The 24,782-nt window shown below is 41.9% G+C and overlaps 1 protein-coding gene across 3 annotated transcripts in view; it reads right to left on the bottom strand.

The window, feature by feature from the left end:
* TBL1Y (transducin beta like 1 Y-linked) overlaps positions 1-24,782 on the bottom strand; it is a 180,987-nt gene that overhangs the window by 108,199 nt on the left and 48,006 nt on the right. For 2 of the 3 annotated variants that reach the window (NM_033284.2, NM_134259.2), the window contains exon 3: positions 5,242-5,272. The exons of the other annotated variant lie outside the window; for it this stretch is intronic. The gene's annotated coding sequence lies outside the window, so the exon portion shown is untranslated. The remainder of the gene's footprint in view (positions 1-5,241; positions 5,273-24,782) is intronic. 3 annotated transcript variants of the gene reach the window in all.

Below are 24,782 nucleotides of genomic sequence, written 5' to 3'. Positions count from 1 at the left end.
AGCTGTGGGTTCCTCCTGATCCCTTTTCCTTTCTTAGTAAACCCTGAGTTAGTCGGGCATAAAGCCAGACTCTGACTAATATATGTACCAGTATAAGCATCAATGGTACTATAGTGCCAGAGGATTCTGAACCACTTCATTTGCTCCAGGGTTCAAGTTCTATAAAAAGAAGCTACTGTTTCCTGTATTACCAATATCAAACAGCATGTTTATTATATATTGATGTGTATTTAGTAATGCACTTTAAAATCCTTGAAATCAGTGGTTCTAAAAGAGAGGAGATTTTGACCCCCAAGAGACACAGGGCAATGTCTAGAAACATTTTTAGTTGTCAGGATTCAGGGAGGAATGCCACCGGCATCTAGGTTAGCATCTGCCAAAATTTCTACAATTCTACAATTCTACAGAGGGTATACCATATACCAGCGGTGCCCAACCTTTTTGGCACCAGGGACTGGTTTTGTGGAAGACAATTTTTTCCACCAACAGGGGGTGGTGGGCAGGGGGAGGTTTCAGGATGAAAGTGTTCCACCTCAGATCATCAGGCATTAGTTACATTCTCATAAGGAGCATGACACTTAGATCCCTCACACATACAGTTTGCAATAGGGTTCACACTCCTATAAGAATCTAATGCTGCTGCTGCTCTGACAGGAGGCAGAGTTAAAGTGGTAATCGCTCACTAGCTCACTGGCCCACATGCAGCTCACCTCCTGTTGTGCAGCCTGGTTCCTAACAGGCCATAGGCCAGTACCTGCTCTATACTTTTATTTTTCAAAGGGTTGGCAATCCCTGCTCTACACTTTTATTTTTCAAAGCACTTTATTCTTCACAAAGTAATACACATATAAAGTTTTAAAAAGTAAGTGCAGGTGAAGCAAAAAGACTCCTTTTATTAATTACAAGTCTTTCAGCATCATCTATCCCCATTTTCACTTCCCAAAGCAACCACTTTCAAATCTTAGAACTATTTTTGGTGATGGTGGTGTTCCCTGTATATAGACTTCCATGGTTTGTTTGTTTGTTTGTTTGGAGACAGGGTCTCACCGTCACGCAGGCTGGAAAGCAGTGGCACTGTAATAGCTCACCGCATCCTTGACTTCCTGGACTCAACCAGTCCCCCCTCTCGGCTTCCTGTGTAGTTGGGACCACAGGGGCATGCCATCATACTAGGCTAATTAAAAAAATTTTTTTTAGAGACATGGTCTCACTGTGTTGTCAAGGCTAGTCTCAAACTCCTCAGCTCAAGCAATCTTCCCCCTCTGGCCTCCCAAAATGTTGACACTACAGGCATGAGCCACCACACCCAGCCAAACTTCTATGTTTCTAAATAATTTGCTGATGATACTCCAATTAAGAAATCGATTTTCGATACCACTTACTGATTTTCATACATACAGTAAGGACTTTTGTTTTTCTATATTCCCACGGCCAATTCTGTACTGACCTTCCCATTTTCAATGGTAAGTTTTCAATATTCTCATATAACCTGGTTTTGGCTATATCATATATTACACATGTATTTTCACAATATTATAAATGGGCACTACTGAGCAGTAATCATTTCTTTCTTATATACTTTTTGCATTCTCCTGGAGTTGTCAGTTGCCTTTGTTTTTATTCCAGTCTTTTGTGTACCATTTGATAATTCTTTCAACACTCTCTAACAGTCTCAATTACACTTTTCACAGGACCAAAACTCTCAGATAATTGGTCAGTGTTTCCTTTCTCCACCAACACCCTCCCCATCCCTCCCACCCCTAACCAATAAACTCACACCAGACTTTCCTTTGGAAATTTCTTGTTTCCTGCTCTAGTCTGTAGTCTGTACTGCAAGAGCCACTGCCCTGAAAACACCCAACGTTTGAGAATTCCTTCTTCCTTTATCTGCAGGATCCTAAACCTCCCTCATACTGGGTTAACTCCCTCACTTTGGTGGAATATATTCTTTATTAGTTTTCTAAGAATTTCCATGTGAAAGTTAATTTTTACTGATATCCTCAATGTGGACAAACACCTTTATTCTACCCTTAATTAACAATTAATGATGAATAACTAATTATTATTATTAATTGATGTGAATAACTTCAAAATTTGAAGGAAATCATTAATTAACAATTAGGACAGGAACAACTTCAAAATTCTCAGAGTAATATTATTTTCAAAGAAGTCCATGTTAGGTCTTTTTTCTGACTTCTAGTGTTAATGTTAAGCAATCTGATGTAATTTTGATTCCAATATCCTTCATTTGCTTTTTTTGAAAAATTCAGGAAAGTGACAGATCTTAATATTCTAAGATGTTATGATGATGAGCTTTGATGCGGTATAATATTTTGATGTGGTTAATTTGTATGCATTGTTTTGTAGTTCCTGGTGTGAAATTTCTTTCTTCTTCAGATTTAAAATATTTTTCCCTCTCTTCCCTGGAATTCCAACTAGGCAAATGTCTGAATTGTTCCTCTGGTCAAGTAAAACTTTCTGCACTATATCTTCCTTTTCTAATAAGGTACGCACTGGACACAAGTGGCTACTGAACATTCAAAATGTGACTAATGTGACTGACAAACTGAATTTTAAATTTTACTTAATTTTAGTTAAGCTTAAACAGTCACATGCCGCTAGTGGCTGCCATATTAGAACAGCACAAATACAACGACTATGACAAAAATGCTTTAAAAACAGAAAAATCAGGTCTGCCTTCAGCACCAACTCTCAGGTGACATTCCACTTAGTTTCAGAGGAAAAAATTTAGTATAATTTCCATATCCCACCATTACTATTTTCATAATAATTCTATGATTTTATTCCTTATGGTTCCTTGCAGGAGCTCAAGGACCTTGTAGAATGGTTATCACATAAGCAGGAACATCCCTTTGTGCATAAACATGGGTCTTATGCCCCCGAACTATGAACAATGCTCATTTCCACTTTGGGGAGCTACTGAGGTACTTAGGAAAAGAGTAATATATAGGCTAATAGAATCAAGCACCAAACACCTAAAATGAACAGCAAGGCCCCTGACAGCAACTTCCTTGTATGGCAAGCCAACTACTCCATGTGTCTTTCCACATGCTGTGGTAAGAACCAGTTCTTCTGTATACTGGATGCTCTAGAGGAAGCTAGGAGGCCAGCCAGGGCATTCTCCTTGAATGCTTTTATTCATTCCATAAATACCGCAGATAAAACAAATCCTTTTCCAGGCATTCTAGTGCCAAGAACCTAGATAGAAAGTAGAATAAAACCAAACTGCAAATCTTCTGTATACCCATTTCAAACCACATGAGCCTATCGTTCTATCCACATGACTGGGAATCACTTTTCAATACAGCTTTCATATGGTTTGGCTCTGTTGTCCCCACCCAAATCTAATGTCAAACTCCAATTTCCTATGTTGGAGGTGGGACTTGGTGGGAGGTGACTGAATCATGGAGGCAGTTTCTAATGGTTTAAAATCATCCCTGTAGTGCTATCTTGTGACAGAGTTCTCATGAGACCTCATTGTTTAAAAGTGTGTAGTGGCCAGGCATGGTGGCTCATGCCTGTAATCCCAGCACTTTCAGAAGCAAATAACTTGAGGTCAAGAATTTGAGACCAGCCTGGCTAACATGGTGAAACTCCCTCTCTACTAAAAATACAAAAATTAGGTGGGTGTGGTGGCGGATGCCTGTAGTCCCAACTGCTCACGAGGCTGAAGCAGGAGAATCGCCTAAGCCTGGGAGGTGGACGTTTCAGTGAGCCGAGACTGTGCCACTGCACTCCAGCCTGGTGACAGAGCAAGACTCTGTCTCAAAAAACAAAGTGTGTAGCATCTCTCTATTTCTTTCTCTCTCTCTGTATCTTTCTTTCTCTCCCCACCCCCATCTAGAATACAGCAAGCATACAATAGGTTTGTATTTAAAACAAATACACAACAAAATCAAAAGCCAAAGAAAATCACTTTTTTTCTATGACAAAGAGAAACAGACATAGTAACACTGTATGTAAAGGGAAACAAATATTCAGGAAAAATCATTCATTTTTCTATGTAAAGATTAACGGAGAAATGTCTTAGTCTACTCTTTAGATAAGTCATTTCATATCCAGTAGTTCCTATAGAACATGGAATCTTTTTATGCTTGTAGCATTTACAAATTCAGGGTTAAACATACGAGCTATTCAAATAAGGAGAACAGCAGACACTAAAGACGCACAAACTTGACTTCCTCTTGTGAGGCTTATGTCTTATGAGGCTTAATAAAAAATACTGCACTTTTCACTGGGCACGGTGGCTCACACCTGTAATCCCAGCACTCTGGAGGCCAAGGTGGGTGGATCACTAGGTGAGAGGTCCAAGACCAGCCTGGCCAACATGGTGAAACCCCATCTCTACTAAAAATACAAAAATTAGCTGGGCGTGGTGGCGGTTGCCTGTAATCCCAGCTCCTCAGGAGGCTGAGGCAGGAGAATCACTTGAACCTGGGAGGCAGAGGATGCAGTGAGACGATATCATGCCACTACACTCCAGCCTGGACAACAGAGTGACACTCTGTCTCAAAAATAATAATAATGATAATAATAATAATAATAGTGCACTGTTGTACAACTAACTGGCAAAATCACTACTTCTAAATAAAATACCGACAAAGTTTTAACAAGCTATCAGTTGCATAGTATGTTTCTAAGCATTTGCTATTATTTAAATTACAGTGATAAAATAAATTTTGTGTCATAAAACTAATCTTTAGAGGGAGAAACTAATCTTTAGAGACAAAAAAAATCACATGTAAAGATAATACATTTTAAGTAGGATAAAATGATCTTTCAAATTCATCAAATTGTCAATCAAGAGCAATTCAAATCTCTCCCCACAGATCCAACTCCAATCTTTAGAAAGATAATCCTCACATAATACAAATCTATTTTTTGTTCACGGATAACATACTGCATCATGAGGTAGAAAAGAATCCTAATTAATCTCTCCCTTGTGTCTCAAAGCGCTGTCTACATTTTGCATGAGGACGAAGCATGATTCTAAATGTAATTGTCAGGCACTTTATTTATTCACTGTAGTTATGATAAAAGTTTCTGAACACCATATGGTCCTGCTATTCACACTTCAGTTTCCACCATTTGCAAAACACATCTGACTCCCTCTTCACCTGGAAAGGTCAATTGTATTAGCTTCAATATCATATAACAAAACAGCCAGCAAATCCCTTTGGCAAAGCCATTAAACACAAGCAGACAAATTTATTCACTTACCTTAGCACCTTACAACCTAGGACATCAATGCCTATAAAGAGGAAAAAAAATGATTAGCCAATTCAGGAACTGGGTGCTAATGCACACACATATACAACATGTACGTGCATGCACACACAGGCACATGTACATGTCTATTCAAAAACCAAACTTGCTCCAACTGCCACCCTCCATATTCAGACCATCAGGAAGAGCTGCTATGGGCAGCTGCACACGTATCAACCACACAATGTTCCACTTTCACTCCAGAGAACATGTTTCTGTGCTCATTCTAGCAGAAGAAATTAGCACTCACAGAAAACCCGGATGTCACTCTTCCGGCCACAGTGCTCCTGTCTCCGTTGCAGTATAAGTCTCCTGGACTTCTTCTCTGTAGCCTATTTGGGTGGTGGTGAACAGTTCCCCAGTTCTCTCCTTCTGCATTACTCTGTACCACCAAACAACCCCAACACTCATATAAATACTGGAGCTTCACTCTACTCATAAAGACACTCTGGAACTCCTACAAGGCAGAGACCCGAAGTAGCCAGCTTTCTGATTCTCACCCCTCTGGAAATGATTGTCTTCATAATGACTTCTAAGCCCCAACCTTTACCAAGAGTGGAAATGTTTTAAAAAGGTGATAGGTGGGGGGTGTCAAATGTCCTAATGATGAGTCATCGGGAATTCTGTTCTAGCCTACACCGAGTGGGTCAGCCCTGGCCCCAAGCATTTAGGCCTGTGTTCCCAACTGTGGATAATTGTGCCCCCTCCAAGAGACATTTGACAATGTCTGGAGATGTTCAAGATTGTCATAACTTGGGGTGGATGATGTTTCTGACATCCTACATTGCCCACATTGGTAAGAATGACATAGTTCTCTGGGACTTGTGTATTTCACTTTGGGTGGTGGGAGGAATTAGGAGGACCTGATTGTGCAGGTGTCATCTGTCAACAACAGGAGGTGGGATGAACATACATAAGAGGTTTTCCACCCCCAAAGAACCCCAGCAAATCAGCTTCACAAATAGCCCTGCAATCTGTCTACACCTGCTTAATGAACACTGTGTAATCTGTCTAGACCCACCCCTCATCTTTGGTCTAGGCTAGTAGCAACGTCCCTTAAATGGTTTCCCATTCCCCAGCCTGGCACCCTGTGAGAAAACCCATGTGTCCATCTCTTAACAACTCTCTGCTACAATGGCCCACCTCACCCTCTGTGACACCTTACCAGTTGTCCACGCAGAGGTAAGTCTTCCAGGTACGAACCTCTGATTCCAGAATGAAAGTAAGAAGCAACACAGGGAGCTTGGCCTCAGAGCCTTTTCTGGTTGTGACATGAACAGATCCTGTCACTCTATCTGAGATGCAGCTGGCCTGACAACAAACAGCATGCATTCTGGGCCAGAAGGACTGCGGGGGAATCACCACCCACCCCATGCCAGCGATAGTATTCTTGGGCCAGATGTCTTCAGTACCTCCTGTTCTCACCTGTACAGAGAGGATAACTGAACTCTCCCAACAAAGTTAGCAGATGCCATCATTCACACATGGAAAGAGCACAGAATCCCCCTGGCATGCAGAGAACACTATACCAACATCGCCTAGAATTGTCTTTGTCATGAAACTCCACAGGTGACAGAACTAGTTTGCAATCTTGTCAGTTACTAGGTGTGGGATCCCAGACAAGAACCCATGAGTCTCATAAAAATGGGATGAAGGATATCTAGGTTAGGCAGACGATGGAAGGAATAGAGATATTACATGTAAAACACAGAGCCTACCATCTGGCTCATCAAAGCAATAAACTGGAGGGCATTTTTGTCAGCTATGATTAACAGAGAACAACTGGGACTGCTGCACTGATGATAGAAGAGGTTGCAAATATTTCCTTTGTATAATTTGAGAAATAACTAAGCACTCTTTCTGCAGCAATGTGTTATACATGTTTCATGGGACACAAAAAAAACTTTTACTTCCAATACCTCATTTTCATTTCCTGCTTTTCAACAAACATTATGAAGGATATTCAGCTGGGTGTGGTGGCTCACCTATAATCCCAGCACTTTGGGATGTTGAGGAGGGCGGATCACTTGAAGTCAGGAGCTGGAGACCATCCTGACCAACACAATGAAATGCTATTGTCTCTACTAAAAATATAAAAGTTAGCCATGCATGGTGGCACACACCTGTAATCCCAGCTACTCGGGAGGCTAACACAGGAGAATGGCTTGAACCCAGGAGGCAGCAGTGGCAGTGAGCCAAGATCACCCCAATGCACTCCAGCTTGGGCAACAGACTGAGACCCTGTGTCACACACACAAACACACACACTCACACACACACACACACACACACACACGAAGTATATTCAAGGCTATGAGGGGTTTAGAGGAAACTGTTCCTCAGCAGTAACGGAGATATAAAAGAATTTCCACTACAAGCCTAATAATTTTTTTTATTCCAGTAAAATTCGATAATGCAGGAGCTCCATTAATCATTATGAATCTTTTCTAAACTCATATTAAGGAACTTTATCATTCAGTTCTGAATGTTAAATTCGGCTGCTTTTAAGACTATGTATCATAGTAAATTTAATAGAGTATTCATCATAATAAATTTAGAAATATACTTTGTCCTGATATACTTCAACAGGAAGCAGCTAGATTAGCATAAGATGTCGTTAAAATACCGGAATTCAAAAGTTACTGCAAACCAACAACCTCCATGAAGCCACAGCACTCTCCTCTACTGAAACACTTTTATCTCCCCGCTAAGGAAAAGAAGAGAAAAAAGTTGGCATGGCTTCCAAAAGCACATATAAAATAGCAAAAATAAAGTAATTCGGTGAGGAAACTGTGGCCAAGAGAAGATCATGCTAAGACAAAGGAGATAAAGCTGATAAGGGGAAGGTGGTACCCAAAGTTTGCAATCAGACAGAACCTGCAATCACTTGGAAGGTAACTGTAAAACTGATTCAAATTTCCTAGACCTCAAAGAAGGAACTATAGTTAGATTCTGGATTCACAGTATCTAAACAATAAAGAAGATACAAGTATCCGAAACACAGCTCCTAGACTTCTGACACGTGCAAAATTTCTCTCAGAAAGAGGAAGTTGTACACTGCATACAATGCTATCCTCAGTAAACACACAAGACAGTTCCTTGGGATACTTCTTCAAATAACCCCCAGTGTGTGATAATTGTACAACACCAAAGTCTAGCTACGTAAACCAAATTTATAAGTCAGTAAACAATACAGAAGTGTACAGACCTCGCTGCAGCCTGGTTTACTCCAGGGACATATCTTAGAAGCTCTCAGAGTCCCAGCTGGGCTGCTGGTCTCTTGTGGGTTGCAGAAACACCACTGCAATATATTGTAAACACCTGGTCATACCAATAAATGTATCACTTCTAAAGTATTATTTTTAATGGTTGGCTAGTAATCATACGGCTAGATCCTGCTGTACTACCCAATCTTTCACCACTATGTTCACCCCCTTGAAACTGCAAGTAACATGGCAAAATACAATTAAAACCAATTTTTAAGTGTCAAAAAGTTTCACAGATCACCTAGATAAAGAAAGCAAGCTGCACTTTTATTATGTAAAATTATGTAATCTTTCAGGAAAAAATACCAAATGACAAAAATACAGAATGACTGTAAATTCAGCAACACCTTTAAAATAATATATGTTTCTATTAATCACACTCGTGTCTACAGAGACATCCGCAAAATGCTTGAGACAATTGACTTCAGTGTATCAACAATGCCCAGTGGGCCTGTGGACAAATTTCCAGATTTCTGGAGAAATAATTACAAAACATCTAGCTTTAAAATTGTTTCACAGATTTGACTGGGAATCCCAGGAAAAACTTAATAAGCTAATGAAGGCCGGGCACAATGGCTCACACCTGCAATCCCAGCACTTTAGGAGGCTGAGGCAGGCAGATCACCTGAGGTCAAGAGTTCAAGACCAGCCTGACCAACATAAAGAAATCCCATCTCAATCCCTTAACAATTTGGCTCAAACTTCCCTTGCGGCACTGACAGTAACATGCTTTGTCCTCCACTGTTGTGCTATCTCACTTCCCACTAATGATGCTTCAAACTTCAGCCTGGGCTGAAATCAAATTTAGTCTTCAAGTCAGGGCCTTGGAAGTGTAGAATAAACAGCAATGTCTTGGTTGGCAGGGGGCTGTGATGCACACTGTAGGATGTTTAGCAGCATCCTGGGTCTCTACAGATCCTGTGATAGCAAGGCCTGTATTTCTGCTGCTCTTGACTTGAGCAAACACCTAATAATTAATAGGAGTTTGGAATACTGTTAAAAAATTCACAACAGCATTTACACACGCTTCTTAGGATGTTAGGTGGAAGTATCTGTTGGAGTAATTTGCCCCAATTCCTTGTAAAACTCCCCCTGCTAGGCCCTACCAGAATGTTAAGTGGGGGCAGAGGAGGAGAGGGCAGGTAAACTTGCAATTGTTTTTACCTTCTTAAGAACAGCAGATTATCCTTATAAACATAACGAGTTTAAGCCTCAGCAACATCTGCAGAGAATGTTCTGTGTTCAGCTACTGTCACAAAGGCTGGTGGACTCTCCATATGTGGATGATAATCCTTTACCCCTGTTTCTTGGCTGTGTTAAGAAGCGAGGATATATCACTGTCAATTTTGATACTGGAACTTTTGGGTTTGGTCAGAATTTTCTATCACCTGTCCTGACACTTGGCACAAAGAAGATTTTAGACAAGCTCAATCAAATAGTTTATTTAAAAACAAGCATCAACAGAGAGTCCCATACACAGCTTGGACAATGTCCCTTACACCCCTGACCCATTGAATGAGAGCCACTCAGGGGCAGGAGCAGTCACTTGCACAACCACAAAATGAGGGGTCACACTCTGACAGCTCTGCCTCCTCTTTCTCATGGCCTCCTGTGTGAGGGCTGAGATGCCCTACTCAGTATGTGAGCCAGCAAGAGGAATGAGGGGACGGAATGGGGGAAGATGATGAGGAGGGGCAGAGGGAAGAGCCGAGTCTCTGTGAATAAGGAAAATACCCCTCTGATTTCAAAGTCACCCTGCTGCCTTGAAAAGTAACAATCACACAGGGCTTGGATATAGCTAAGCTCATGACAGCCACCGCACAGAGATTCCTGGCTGGCTAATTTCCCCTTCCTTCCCCTCAACAACAACAGACTTACCCATAACACACTCACATGCACATCCAGAAGAGCCACAGAATCAAATCCAGGGAGGAACTGAGGGTGACCAGCAGGCATGGGTGGCCAGAATCCCAACACAGGGATTTGTGTCCAAGGCCCCCATTTTCTATGCCTCCACAGCAATGGGGAAGCCACCTCATGCATTGCAAGCTGCACTCTCCTTGTTGGTCCACAGAGATGGTAATGCCCATCCTGCCTCCCTCACAGGGAAGAGTCCAGGGCAGGCAAGATGAAGGTGTTTTGAAAACACACAGAGCACACACAAATGTTCAGTATGGTGACACGTGGCAGGAGACAGACCACAAGGGCTGGCAGTCACTCCCCCTGCGAGGCTGATTCTTCCCTCTCTGCAGCACCCAGGGATCGAAGACTGAGCTGTCATGTGATTCACACCATGCTGTGAATCCAGCTGCTATCCACTCTTGCTCCAGTTCTTCCAAAGTGGGAGGAAGGGCCATGGCAGAGTTTTCACAAGCTCAGATCATGATGAAAATGTCCAAAGAAAGACACACTGCCCACAGTCTTCATCATGGCCCTGCCTCCTTCAACTCTAACACCCCATTCTGAAAGAAAATACTGTGGAAGTAGAGCTACTAAAATGCTATGTTTACATCTATCTATATGCTCCAGGAGCATCCCAAGACAGTTATGTTGCTGCCAGCTGTAACGGTGTCAGAATAGCTTCCAGGAGCAATTCATTCAGAAATAAATCATCCAGTGTCAGGACAGGGTGAGTGGTGCCAGACAAGTACAGCATGATAGGGATTGCCTGAGGGTAGGAGAAGCACAGCTGGAAAGGATCAAAGCAGGATCAAAGCCAGAAGCCAGTCCATTCAGAATTTTTATCACTTACCAAGTCACTTATCAATTTTGATCATCTATCAAATAAAATTACAGGCAAGTTTCCAAAATTTAACCAGCCAAAATTCATACTACCAGTAATAAATTTTAACCCAAAAAGTTCACTGTACCACCAGAGCCACAACCATCCACGGCAATGACAAAACTGGTCCCCACACTGCAAGAAACCCAAAACTATCTTTCTCCTTCCTAACTTGAAAATGCTATTGCAAAACCACTGTCATCTGCAATCTAAGAGAGCACCATCTAAGAATATACGGCTTTTGCGGGGCTCAGTGGCTCACACCTGTAATTCCAGTGCTTTTGGAAGCCAAGGCAGATGGGTCACCTGAGGTCAGGAGTGCCAGATGAACCTGGCCAACATGGCGAAACCGCATCTCTACTAAAAATACAAAAATTAGCCCGGTGTGGTGGCACACACTTGTAATCCCAGCTACTTGGGAGGCTGAGGCAGCAGGATCGCTTGAACATGGGACGCAGAAGTTGCAGCGGACTGAGATTGTGCCATTACACTGCAGGCTGAGTGACAGAGCAAGTCTCTCCTCTCTCTCTCCCCCGCTCTGTCTCTCTCTCTCTCTCTCTCTGTTCCCCTCCCTCCCTCCCCCTCTCATACTAATGGCTTCAGGCTGATCAATTTCAAACCATTCTTATGTGAAAAGGGTGAATTATTAGAAAATGCCTTGAGAATATGATATAGGACCAAAAATCCTCATTCCCCACCCCTAGTTTTACCAATCCTCATACCAACACTATCTATGGCTGGTTTCTTAAGTGTCACTGATCCTTGTATGCCCACTAATTCCATTTAAAATACTCACTCTATACATTCTTTTCAGAATCAAGAAGAAAGGTAGTCCTACATACTCAACAATGATGTTTATACCTAGACAAGTAAAATATAAAGGACACTGTCTTTTAATATTAATTTTGACAAGAAATGTGAGCCAGCTTCCATCATTTGGATATGAAAGAGTGCATCATTATTTTCACAAAACCAGAAAGATTTCTCTGATAGAATTCATCATCACGTCTTTATGAGTTTGTGCTGACTGTCACATAAAGGGGGCTGTGAGACATATGGACCTGAAGACTATTACACACACACCTGAAGACTTTAATGATGAGGTTTGCAGAGGAGACCTCAGGCTAGTGTGCCCAAGAGGTGGAATTCAGACTTCTTTCCAGTTAAGTTAAAATTCTGGAGGCAAAAACGTTTATTCCTCTGCACACTTGAAAGCCTGGCTGCAAGCCACACACACGTTACACATCCAATCCCTTCCCTCTATAAACTGAACCACATCTGTGCATAACTTCATTGCCTTATAGGGGACTGGAAGATTCCTCCCTGTCTGTCAAATAATGACAAACATAACATCACTCACACATGCATACCAGGCAAAGCATTCTTGACAATGAGGGTTTCCTAGCTCCTTTTTAGGGGAAAAGTTGGGTAAGAATTCAAGTGGGATGTTTTTTGGAAGCCTGCGTCTGCAGTGCAGTGAAAAGATAGAAGTCTTCTACACAGTGAAAAGACAGAAGTCCATGTCCCTTGCTTCTTAAAAATAATAATAAAAGTACTTAGGCCAGGCACAGTAGCTCACTCCTGTAATCCCAGCACTTTGGGACGCCAAGACAGGTACATCACCTGAGGTCACACATTTGATACCAGCCTGGCCAACATAGTGGAACCCCGTCTCTACTAAAAACACAAAAATTAGCCAGGCCTGGTGGCAGGCACCTGTAGTACCAGCTACTCAGGAGGCTGAGGCAGGAGAATTGCTTGAACATAGGAGGTAGAGGTTGCAGTGAGCTGACATGACACCACTGCACTGCAGCCTGGGTGAAAGAGCAAGACTTCATTTAAATAAATAAAGTAAATAAATAAATAAGTGTACTTAATGTTGACCAGATGCTCACCAAGCCATGTTCTAAGCGCTTTCACATGTATCAGCTTTTAAAGTGATTCCACCTATACAAGCTCCCTAAAGTTGTGAAAATCAAAAAAGCAGAGACTGGAATAGTGGTTGCTGGGAGCTGGAGGCAGGGGAAACAGGGAGGGGTGAAGAGGGGAGATCCATTTTGGATATGTTTTTTACTAGAATTTTTTAAATGCTATAAGAATATCGTATTAAGGGAGGTACCAACATCCCCAGCAAACACTGACGGCCAGGAATTAAACCAATGGGACTAATGGCAGTTACCCACAATCCTGAGTCCATTTTAGTGAAAAAGGAGAAAAGGGAAATACTGAACACTGTATTTTTTTTAATTAGGGTATTAAGAACTGTTGAATTATACACCTAAAATAGGTGTTTGTTATGTGAATCACATTTCTATAACCCTTTTTTTTTTAAAATCCACAGTAGTCAAGAATGGGTGCATCTTATTATATGTAAGCCACACTGAAATAGGATGAGCACGAAAACAAATGTTGGTAAACAGAAAGCACATAAAGAACTCTATAAAAATAGTAGGTGGCCACTAAGTAACAACTGTATGTCAGTAAGTAAAAAATAGTCACTTAAATGATGAAAGAAACTAAGATGACAGGAGCCTCACAACCCAGTTTTTCTGAGGACCTTATTTATACTTATTAGGATGCCTGTACAGATCTTGCTGTTGATGTGAAATAGACATTGTAGACCCAGTGAAAGTGAGAGAAATGGTCACCCACCATTTTTCATTTCCACATCTCTCTGGCTAGTCTTTAGTGGGATCAGACAGCAAAGCAGAAAGACAATATCATAGAACACTGACCCAGTCCACAGGCTGCTGGGCAACCCTTCTCCTCACCTGCCTCCTGCCCTTGCTCCGACATGGTTCTGGGTTCCTCCCTCAGAGCTCAGCACTGCCCAGGCACTGGGCCCAACAAGCCAGTGCTTTACTGTCACTGCCTCTACCCACTCCTGAGCTCCTGGAGCAAGGTCTCTCCAGGGTGCCAGCATCCCTGGCTCTGTAGAGTCTTCACGGTACAAAAGTGAACCCAATTTAACCACAGCCCAGAGAAGTCCACAGTTGCTTCCTTTTTCGAAGCAGCTTGGAGCAGGACACCCAGAAGAGGCAGTATCCTGGTCTTCAGCTCTCATAACTCAATCATGCTGGCCTGCTAAGCTAGCATCCCTCACCTCCACATTTATGCTGATGCATAAATACCTACCATCACTATGCCTTTCTTTACTTGGGTTCTGTCTGCAATATGGTCTGTGTTTGCCTTAGAAACTGTCCTGCCTTCACTTCTCCCCAAAGAACATCTGGGCATGTCTCAGGAGCATTTGAAAACTGTATTTAAGTATCTCTTTCACAGATGGTTTTCATTCAGAGGGAAACCAAAACTTCCCCAAAGATGAATATTTTCCTAAGTTACCACCCTAACATCAGAACACTTCCTTGAACTGCAGCATTATGTTTATGGAATTTTGTGTAGACACAGGTAAGAACGAGAATAAATGTTCTGAAAAAGTGAGGAGGGGGAGAAAGAAATAGAAGGTATGATAATGAAATTAGAAAATAGAGAAAACCAGGCCAAAGGGTGCAGAAAGCCAGCATTCACTCACGTCTTCAACACACAGTTAGTTGCACACAGTTGTGCTGAAAGTTCATGCTTTTTTATAAGCTGAATTATGAACCATTCACACCTGATGCTGCTTTCGACTCCCTTCCTCTTTTTACCTATTATCCTCAGTTTTTGTTTCTAACAGCTTTACTAACATATAATTCACACACCATGAAATTCAACCTTTTGAATGTACAATCCAGTGGTTTTTAAAATATTCACAGAGTTGTGCAACCTCTAATTCCAGAACACCTTCATCACTTCCAAAAGAAACCCTGTGCTGGCTAGCAGTCACCCCAAGCTCTCTGTCCCCAGCCCTAGCAAGCAGGAATCCACTTTCTGCCTCTACAGGTTTGCTTGTTCTGGACAGTCAGCATGTTACCTGCCCACTCCCAACTCATATGGTGAAGTCCTAACCCTGAGGACCCCAGAACATGACTGTTTATTTGGAGTTAGGGCCTTGAAAGAGGTGATTAAAGTAAACCAGGGTCATTAGGTTGGTCCCTTATCCAAAGGGACTGGTGCCCTCATAAGAACAGGAGATGAGGGCACAGACAGAAGAATGACCTTGTTAGGACCCAGAGAGAAAACAGTGTCTACAAGCCCAGAAGAGAGGCCTCGGGAGGAACCATCCCTGCCGGCCCCGTGACCTGGGACTTCAAGCCTCTATGACTATGGGAGAATGACCAGCTGCAATTTAAGCCACCAGGCCCGTGGTGCTCTGTTACAGCAGCCGAGGACACTAAGGCAAGTGCACAGGTTCCATGCCAGGCTTGTGGGAGGCATGGGAATGCTGAGCAAAAAGATTCCCTTTCCAATTGCTGGAGAGAGAGCAGAAGGAGTGAGGCTCATGGGCTTGCCCCCTAAACCCTGAACTCCAGCCTGGGCAACAAAAATGAAACTCTGTCTCAAAAGAAAAAAAAAGTCACACCATAGGCTAGGCATCATGGTTCACAGCTGTTATCCCAACACTTTGGGAGGCCAAGGTGGGCGGATAACTTGAGCTCAGGAGTTCAAGACCAGCCTGGCCAACATGGTGAAACCCCATCTCTAGTAAAAATACAAAAATTAGCAGGATATGGTGGCGCACGCCTCTGATCCTAGCTACTCAGAAGGCTGAGGCAAGAGAATCACTTGAACCCAGGAGGCAGAGGTTGCAGTGAGCCAAGATCATTGCACTCCAGCCTAGGCAACAAGAGCGAAAGTCTGTCTCAAAAAAAAAAAAGTCACACCACAATGAGTATAACAGAGAAGAAACCCCTATAGTAATTTTCTTCAATCTGTAGGGTAAATGTGTCTTTTGTCCTTCTCCCTCAATAGTCCCTCTCCTACACTTAAACTCTCGTGATGCTGGTCTGTGCTGCAGCTGTAGTAACTCCTCACATCCTGGCCACTCTCAGTCCACTGCACATTTTGGTGCATTTGTGGCTGCTTTCCAGTATCTGCCTCCCCTCAACTCTATCAACTCCAGGAGGGAAGAAAGCAACTGTCCCTAGTGCAAGTACCTTCAAGCATGGGCCTGCGCAGAGGCCACCACCCTGTGCTTATGGAATAAATAACCAATGCCTTCAAATAACCAATTCATTCATTGAGCAAAAAGGGAACCCCACAGAAACAAAACAAAAATCTCCTTCCAGAACATGCCTAGCAATAAATCTATCATCCTTGAAAAGGGATAGGATCCACAGCTATACTATCCTGAACACCCCGATCTCATCTAAACAAGGCACACAATTTTTATATGCACCTATGCACATTAAAAAAGAGAGAGAGAGAGAGAGAGAGAAGACTGCTCTGAGAAATACATAGCTCTCAACATCTGAGTGCTGAAAAACTACACAACCAGTAAGATCTAGACCTGGGGTAGGCAAGCTACGCCCAGAGGCCAGCTCAGAGAGTCAGATTTCACTGAGTCAACTGGGTATTACAAAGAGGTTGTGCACTCTGTATGTCATCTCTCTCTCACTTACATACACACGTGCAAACACTGTATTTCTCACACAGACCCCTTCATCTTGAACTATAGGTGCAGCTACACACCTTAGTCTTATTTTTAACACAGGAAGCAACAGGACTAGAAACAAAAATTACATGGGAATATTCCCATACACAAGAATACTAGATGCCTCAGCATTCAACCCTTTCAGGCAAAAAGAGGAAAACTAAATCTAAGGCATCTAACACTTTCAACCAGGCATTGTTTTAACACAAAATCTCTTTAGGAAGAAACTATTTTCTACATGAACAAATCAAGAAAAATATGCAGGCGAGGCACCGTGGCTCATGCTTGTAATCCCAGCACTTTGGAAGGCCGAGGCAGGTGGATCACCTGAGGTCAGGAGTTCAAGACCAGCCTGGCCAACATGGAGAAACCCATCTCTATTAAAAATACAAAAATTAGCCAGGCATGGTGGCACATGCCTGTAATCCCAGCTACTTAGGAGGCTGAGGCAGGAAAATCCCTTGATTTGCTGTGAGCTGAAATTGCACCACTGCTCTCCAGCCTGGGCAACAGTGTGAGACTCTGTCTCACCAAAAAAAAAAAGGAAAAATATGCAAAGTGTCTGTCCATAAACTCGATTTACATAGACATGTAAACGCTGGCTAAATTGGTATTGTTTTATATACCAAATATGCTTAAATTCCAATGCACATTTACGTAAAAGAAAAATATCTTGGGCTCCCAAAAACTCAAGCTAGGAAGCGCAAACTCAAAATAATGTAACCACTGGTGTCTCACCTATCTGTGACCTGGGAGTTCCCTCCCGCTTCGAGTTTTCCTGCCTTTGCTTCAAAGTAAAGCTTGCGAGAGAAGAAAGAATTGAGGATATGATTCCTTTCCATTTACCTACCCATTTTCTAGACACCCTGTGAAGGGGTCATTTACCCCTGAGTTTTTGGCTAACTCATTGGACAGAGCAGTTAGACCTTGCAGTACTTTTATTATACTTCCATCAGGGGCAGTATTGTTTGAGATGAACACCTTTCCAGACTGTTAGAAATAAAGTTTCAGTGCCACAAAAAAAATAGCCCTCGAACATACATTTTCTTAGCATGGCAATTTTAGTTTTATAGAAGGGTATGACTCGCAGATGGAGCAATGGTGAGAACACACCTGAGCAAGGAGGGGAAGGGGTTCCTATTCCTGTCGCAGGTAGCCCCTACTGCAATGTCATTCCCTGATTGGCTAGCGTTTCAGTTTCTGATGTCCCTGAAAGCTGTGTAATAGATTGTGAAGAAGAGGCAGGAGCAGAGTTCAAGGAAGGAATGGGAAGTTCACATTGTAAAAATGTAGTAGAGTCTGTAATGGCTCAGTCAAGGCAAAATGTTGACTATAATCAGTTACAGGAAGTAATATATCCTGAACCATCAAAATTGGGGGGAAAAGGTCCAGAATTATTTGGGCCATCAGAGTTTAGACGATGATGGCCACCAACTCCTTCTCCCGCGGTTCAGATGCCTGTGACATTACAACCTCAAATGCCAATCCAGACACAGTATCCACAATATCAGCTGGTGGAAAATAAAACCCAACCACCGGCAGCTTATCAACACCAGCCGCCAGCCGAATTTCAGTATCGGCCGTCTCCAGAGGTTCAGTATAGAACTCAGGTGGTGCGCCCAACCCAAATAGCAGGGCACTATATCAACATCCCACGGCAATGGTGTTTGATCCTACAGTACCACCTAGTGGACAAGATAGTGCACTCCATGAAATCATTGATAAAGCCAGAAAACAGGGAGATCTTGAGGCATGGCAGTTCCCAGTAATTTTACAACCCACCCGGCCGGGAAAGGGAGTCAAGCAGGAGCGTCTGTCCGAACTGAGTGTAGATATGAATCTTTCACCATGAAAATGTTAAAAGATATGAAGGAAGGAGTTAAACAATATGGACCCAACTCTCCTTGTATGAGAACATTATTAGATTCCATTGCTCTTGGAAATAGACTTATTCCTTAGGATTGGGAAATTTTGGCTAAATCTTCCCTTTCACCCTCTCAATTCCTACAGTTTAAAACCTGGTAGATTGATGGAGTACAAGAATATGTACAGAAAAATCAGGCTACTTATCCTGTTGTCCATATAGATGCAGATCAATTGCTAGGAACAGGTCCAAATTGGAGCACTATTAACCAACAATCAATAATGCAAAATGAGGCTATTGAACAACTAAGGGCTATTTGCCTCAGGGCCTGGGAAAAGATTCAGGACCCAGGATCTGCCTGCCCTTCTTTTAGTTCAATCAGACAAGGCTCTAAAGAGCCATATCCAGACTTTGTGGCAAGGTTGCATGCTGCAGCTCAAAAATCCATTGCAGATAATAATGCCTGAAAAGTTATTGTAGAAATAATGGCTTACCAAAATGCACATCCAGAATGTCAATCAGCCATAAAGCCATTAAGAGGAAAGGTTTCAGCAGGAGTTGATGTAATTACAGAATATGTGAAGGCTTGTGATGGGATTGGAGGAGCTATGCATAAGGCAATGCTATTGGCTCAAGCAATTAGGGGGTTGCTTTAGGAGGACAAGTTAAAACATTTGGGGGAAAATGTTATAATTGTGGTCAAATCAGTCATCTAAAAAAGAATTGCCCAGGCTTAAATAAACAGAGCAAAAGTAAACAGCCACCTGGCCTGTGTCCAAAATGTGGAAAAGAAAAACACTGGGCTAAAAAATGTCCTTCTAAATTTGATAAAAATGGGCAACCATTGTCAGGAAATGGCAAACAGGGCCAGCCCCAGGCCCCGCAACAAAGTGGGGCATTCCTGATTCAGCCATTTGTTCCTCAGGGTTTTCAGGGACAACAACCCCCACAGTAAATACCACCATTTCAGGAAATCAGCTAATTACAACAATACAACAGTTATCCCCCGCCACAGCAGGCAGCACGGCAGTAGATTTATGTTCTTTATGATTATGTAAAGATTTACGATTTCTTTACTCCCTGGAGAGCCCCTGCAAAAGATTCCTACAAGGGTACATGGCCCGCTGCCAGAAGGGAGAGTAGGCCTTATTTTAGGAAAATCAAGTCTAAATTTGAAGGGAGTCCAAATTCATACTGGGGTAACTGACTCTGATTATAAAGGGGAAATTCAGTTAGTGATTAGCTCTACTGTTCCCTGGAGTGCCAATCCAGGTGATAGAATTGCTCAGTTACTGTTCTTGCCTTATATCAAAATTGGGGATAGCAAAACAGAAAAAACAGGAGGGTTTGGAAGTACCAACCCTGCTGGAAATGCTGTTTATTGGGCTAGTCAGCTCTCAGAGAATAGACCTGTGTGTACAGTTACTATTCAGGGAAAGCAGTTTGAAGGAATCATGGATATGGGGGCTGATGTTTCTATCCTTGCCTTAAATCAATGGCCAAAAAATTGACCTAAACAAGTCCGTTACAGGACTTGTTGGTGTGGGCACCGCCTCAGAAGTGTATCAAAGTCCATGATTTTACATTGTTTAGGAACTGAGCATCAAGAGAGTACAGTTCAGCCTATGATTACTTCTATTCCAATTAATTTATGGGGCCGAGACTTGTTAGAACAGTGGCATGCAGAGATCACTATTCCAGTCTTCCTATACAGCCCCACTCCAACTTTAGATTTTTGCTACTGCACACTCTCCAACAGGCATTATTGTTGAAAATACAGATATTGTGGAGTGGCCATTCCTTCCCCACAGTAAAGACTTTTACATTGTACTTAGATCAAATGGCTACATTAATTGGTCAGGCAAGACTACGAATAGTAAAATTGTGTGGAAGTGACCCAGATAAAATCATTGTCCCTTTAAACAAGGAACAGGTTAGACAAGCCTTTATCAATTCAGTCTGCATGGCAGACTGGTCTTGCTGATTTTGTGGGAATTATTGATAATCATTACCCAAAAACAAAAATCTTCCAGTTTTTAAAATTGACTACTTGGATTTTACCTAAAATTACCAGAAAAAAACCTTTCAAAAATGTTCTGACAGTGTTTACTGATGGTTCCAGCAATGGAAAAGCAGCTTACATCAGGCCAAAAGAACGAGTCATTGAAGCTCAATATCACTCAGCTCAAAGAGCAGAATTGGCTGCTGTCATTTCAGTGTTAAACAAGATTTAATCAGCCTATTAACATTGTTTCAGATACTGCATATGTAGTACAGGCTACAAAGGATGTTGAGACAGCCCTAATCAAATATAGTATGGGTGATCAGTTAAATCAGCTGTTTAAATTGTTACAATAAACTATAAGAAAAAGAAATTTCCCACTTTATATTACTCATATTCGAGCACATACTAATTTACCACGGCCTTTAACTAAGGCAAATGAACAAGCTGACTTCCTAGTATCATCTGATTTCATGGAAGCACAAGAACTTCACGCCCTGACTCATGTAAATGCAACAGGATTAAAAAATAAATATTATATCACATGGAAACAAGCAAAAAATATTGTACTACATTGTGCTCAGTGTCAAGTCTTACACCTGCCCACTCAGGAGGCAGGAGTTAATCCCAGAGGTTTATGTCCTAATGCATTATGGCAAATGGATGTCACACATGTACCTTCATTTGGAAAAATGTCATTTGTCCATGAGACAGTTGATACCTATTCACATTTCATGTGGACAACCTGCCAGACAGGAGAAAGTACTTCCCATGTTAAAAGACATTTATTATCTTGTTTTGCTGTCATGGGAGTTCCAGAAAAAATTAAAACGGATAATGGGCCAGGATACTGTAGCAAAGCATTTCAAAAATTCCTAAATCAGTGGAAAATTACACATACAACAGGAATCCCCTATAATTCCCCAAGGACAGGCCATAACTGAAAGAACTAATAGAACACTCAAAGCTCAATTGGTTAAACAAAAAATGGAAAAAGACAGTAAGGAGTATAACACTCCCCAGATGCAACTTAATCTAGCACTCTATAGTTTAAATTCTTTAAACATATATAGAAATCAGACCACTACTTCTGCAGAACAACATTTTACTGGTAAAAAGAACAGCCCACATGGGGGAAAACTGATTTGGTGGAAAGACAACAAAAATAAAACATGGGAAATAGGTAAGGTGATAACATGGGGGAGAGGTTTTTCTTGTGTTTCACCAGAAGAAAATCAGCTTCCTGTTTGGATACCCACTAGACATTTGAAGTTCTACAATGAACCCATCAGAGATGCAAATGAAGGTGCCTCCATAGAGACAGAAAACCTGCAATCGAGCATCATCACCTCGCCAGGTGAAGAAAATGGTGATATCAAAAGAACAGATGAAGTTGCCATCCACCAAGAAAGCGGAGCCGCCGACCTGGGCCCAGCTAAAGAAGCTGACACAGTTAGCTGAAAAAAGCCTGAAAAACATGAGGGTAACATAAACTCCAGAGAATATGCTGCTTGCAGCTTTAATGATTGTATCAATGGTGCTAAGTCTCCCTATATCTGCAGGAGCCGCTACAGCTAACTATACTTACTGGGCCTATGTGCCTTTCCCACCCTTAATTCGGGCACTCACTTGGAGAGATAATCCTATTGAAGTACATGTTAACAATAGTACATGGGTACCAGACCCCACAGATGACCGTGGCCCTGCCCAACCTGAAGAAGAAGGAATGATGATAAACATTTCCATTGGGTATCATTATCCTCCTATTTGTCTGGGAAAAGCACCAGGATGCTTAATGCCTACAAACCAAAACTGGTTGGTAGAAGTACCTACTGTCAGTGCCACCAGTAAATTCACTTATCACATGGTAAGTGAAATGTCACTTGGGTCACAAATGAATAATTTACAGGACTCTTCCTATCAAAGATCATTAAGATTTAGGCCTAAGGGAAAATCTTGCCCCAAGGAAATTCCAAAAGAATCAAAAGACCCAGAAGTCTTAGTTTGGGAAGAATGTGTGGCTGATACTGCAGTGGTACTACAAAACAATAAATTTGGAACTATTATAGACTAGGCCCCTCGAGGCCAATTATATTATGACCGTATGGGCCAGACCCACTCATGTTCACAGGCTCCATCTGTCTGGCCCGCTAATCCAGTCTATGATAGTGATTTAACTAAAAGGCTAGACCAGGTTTATAGAAGGCTAAAATCACCCTATCCATGGAAATGGGGTGAAAAGAGGATTTCTTCACCCCGACCAAAGTTAGTCCTGTTGTTGGTCCTGAACACCCAGAATTATGGAAGCTCACTGTGGCCTCGTACCACATTAGAATTTGGTCTGGAAATCAAGTTATGGGAACAAGAAATCATAAGCCATATTATACTATTAACCTAAATTACAATCTGACAATTCCTTTGCAAAGTTAGGTAAAACCCCCTTATACGCTAGTTGTAGGAAATATAGTTATTAAACCAGATTCCCAAACTATAACCTGTGAAAACTGTAGATTGTTTACTTGCATTGATTCAACTTTCGACTGGCAGCATCATATTCTGTTAGTCAGGGCAAGAGAGGGTATGGGGATCCCTGTGTCCATGGACTGACCGTGGGAGGCTTCTCCATCTGGACATATCTTAACAGAAGTATTTAAAAGAGTTCTAACTAGATCTGAAACATTCATTTTTACCTTGATTACAGTGATTATGGGTTTTATTGCAGTCACAGCTACTGCTGCGGCTGCTGGAATTGCTTTACACTCCTCTGTTCAAACTGCAGAATATGTGAATAATTGGCAAAAGAATTCCTCGAAATTGTGGAATTCTCAGACTCAAACAGATCAAAAATTGACAAATCAAAGTAATGATCTTAGACAAACTGTCATTTGGATGGGAGATAGGCTCATAAGTTTGGAATATCTTTTTCAGTTACAGTGTGACTGGAATATGTCAGATTTTTGTATTACACTTCAAGCCTATAATGAATCTAAACATCACTGGGACATGGTTAGATGCCATCTACAAGGAAGAGAAGATAATCTTACTTTAGATATTTCAAAATTGAAAAAACAAATTTTTGAAACATCAAAAGCCCAGTTAAATCTGGTGCCAGAAACTGAGGCAACGGTGAAAGCTGTTGATAGCCTCACAAATCTTAACCCTGTCACTTGGGTTAAAACCACTGGAAATTCCACTGTTGCAAATTTTGTATTAATTCTTGTACGTCTGTCCTCTCTGTTGTTAGTCTACAGGTGTATCCAGCAGCTCCGGAGAGACAGCAACCAGCGAGAACGGGCCATGATGACTATGGCAGTTTTGTCAAAAAGAAAAGGGACATATGTAGGGAAAAGAAAGAGAGATCAGACTGTTACTGTGTCTATGTAGAAAAGAAAGACATAAGAGACTCCATTTTGAAAAAGACCTGTACTTTGAACAATTGCTTTGCTGAGATGTTGTTAATTTGTAGCTTTGCCCCAGCCACTTTGACCCAACCTGGAGCTCACAAAAACATGTGTTGTATGGAATCAAGGTTAAAGGGATCTAGGGCTGTGCAGGATGTGCCTTGTTAACAAAATGTTTACAAGCAGTATACTTGGTAAAAGTCATTGCCATTCTCTAGTCTCAATAAACCAGGGGCATAATGCACTGCAGAAAGCCGCAGGGACCTCTGCCCTTGAAAGCTGGGTATTGTCCAAGGTTTCTCCCCATGTGATAGTCTGAAATATGGCCTCATGGGATGAGAAAGACCTGACCGTCCCCCAGCCCAACACCCATAAAGGGTCTGTGCTGAGGCGGGTTAGTAAAAGAGGAAAGCCTCTCGCAGTTGAGATAGAGGAAAGCCACTGTCTGCTGCCTGCCCCTGGGAACTGAACATCTCAGTATAAAACCTGATTGTACGTTTGTTCAATTCTGAGATGAGAGAAAAACCGCCCTATGGTAGGAGGTGAGACATGTTTGCAGCAATGCTGCCTTGTTATTCTTTACTCTGCTGAGATGTTTGGGTGGAGAGAAACATAAATCTGGCTTACGTACACGTCCAGTCATAGTAC

This window comes from Homo sapiens, chromosome Y (assembly GCF_000001405.40).
Source record: "Homo sapiens chromosome Y, GRCh38.p14 Primary Assembly".
NCBI lineage: Eukaryota > Metazoa > Chordata > Mammalia > Primates > Hominidae > Homo > Homo sapiens.
The sequence above is the reverse complement of the archived record's forward strand: the minus strand, read 5'-3'. Positions and strand labels throughout refer to the sequence as shown.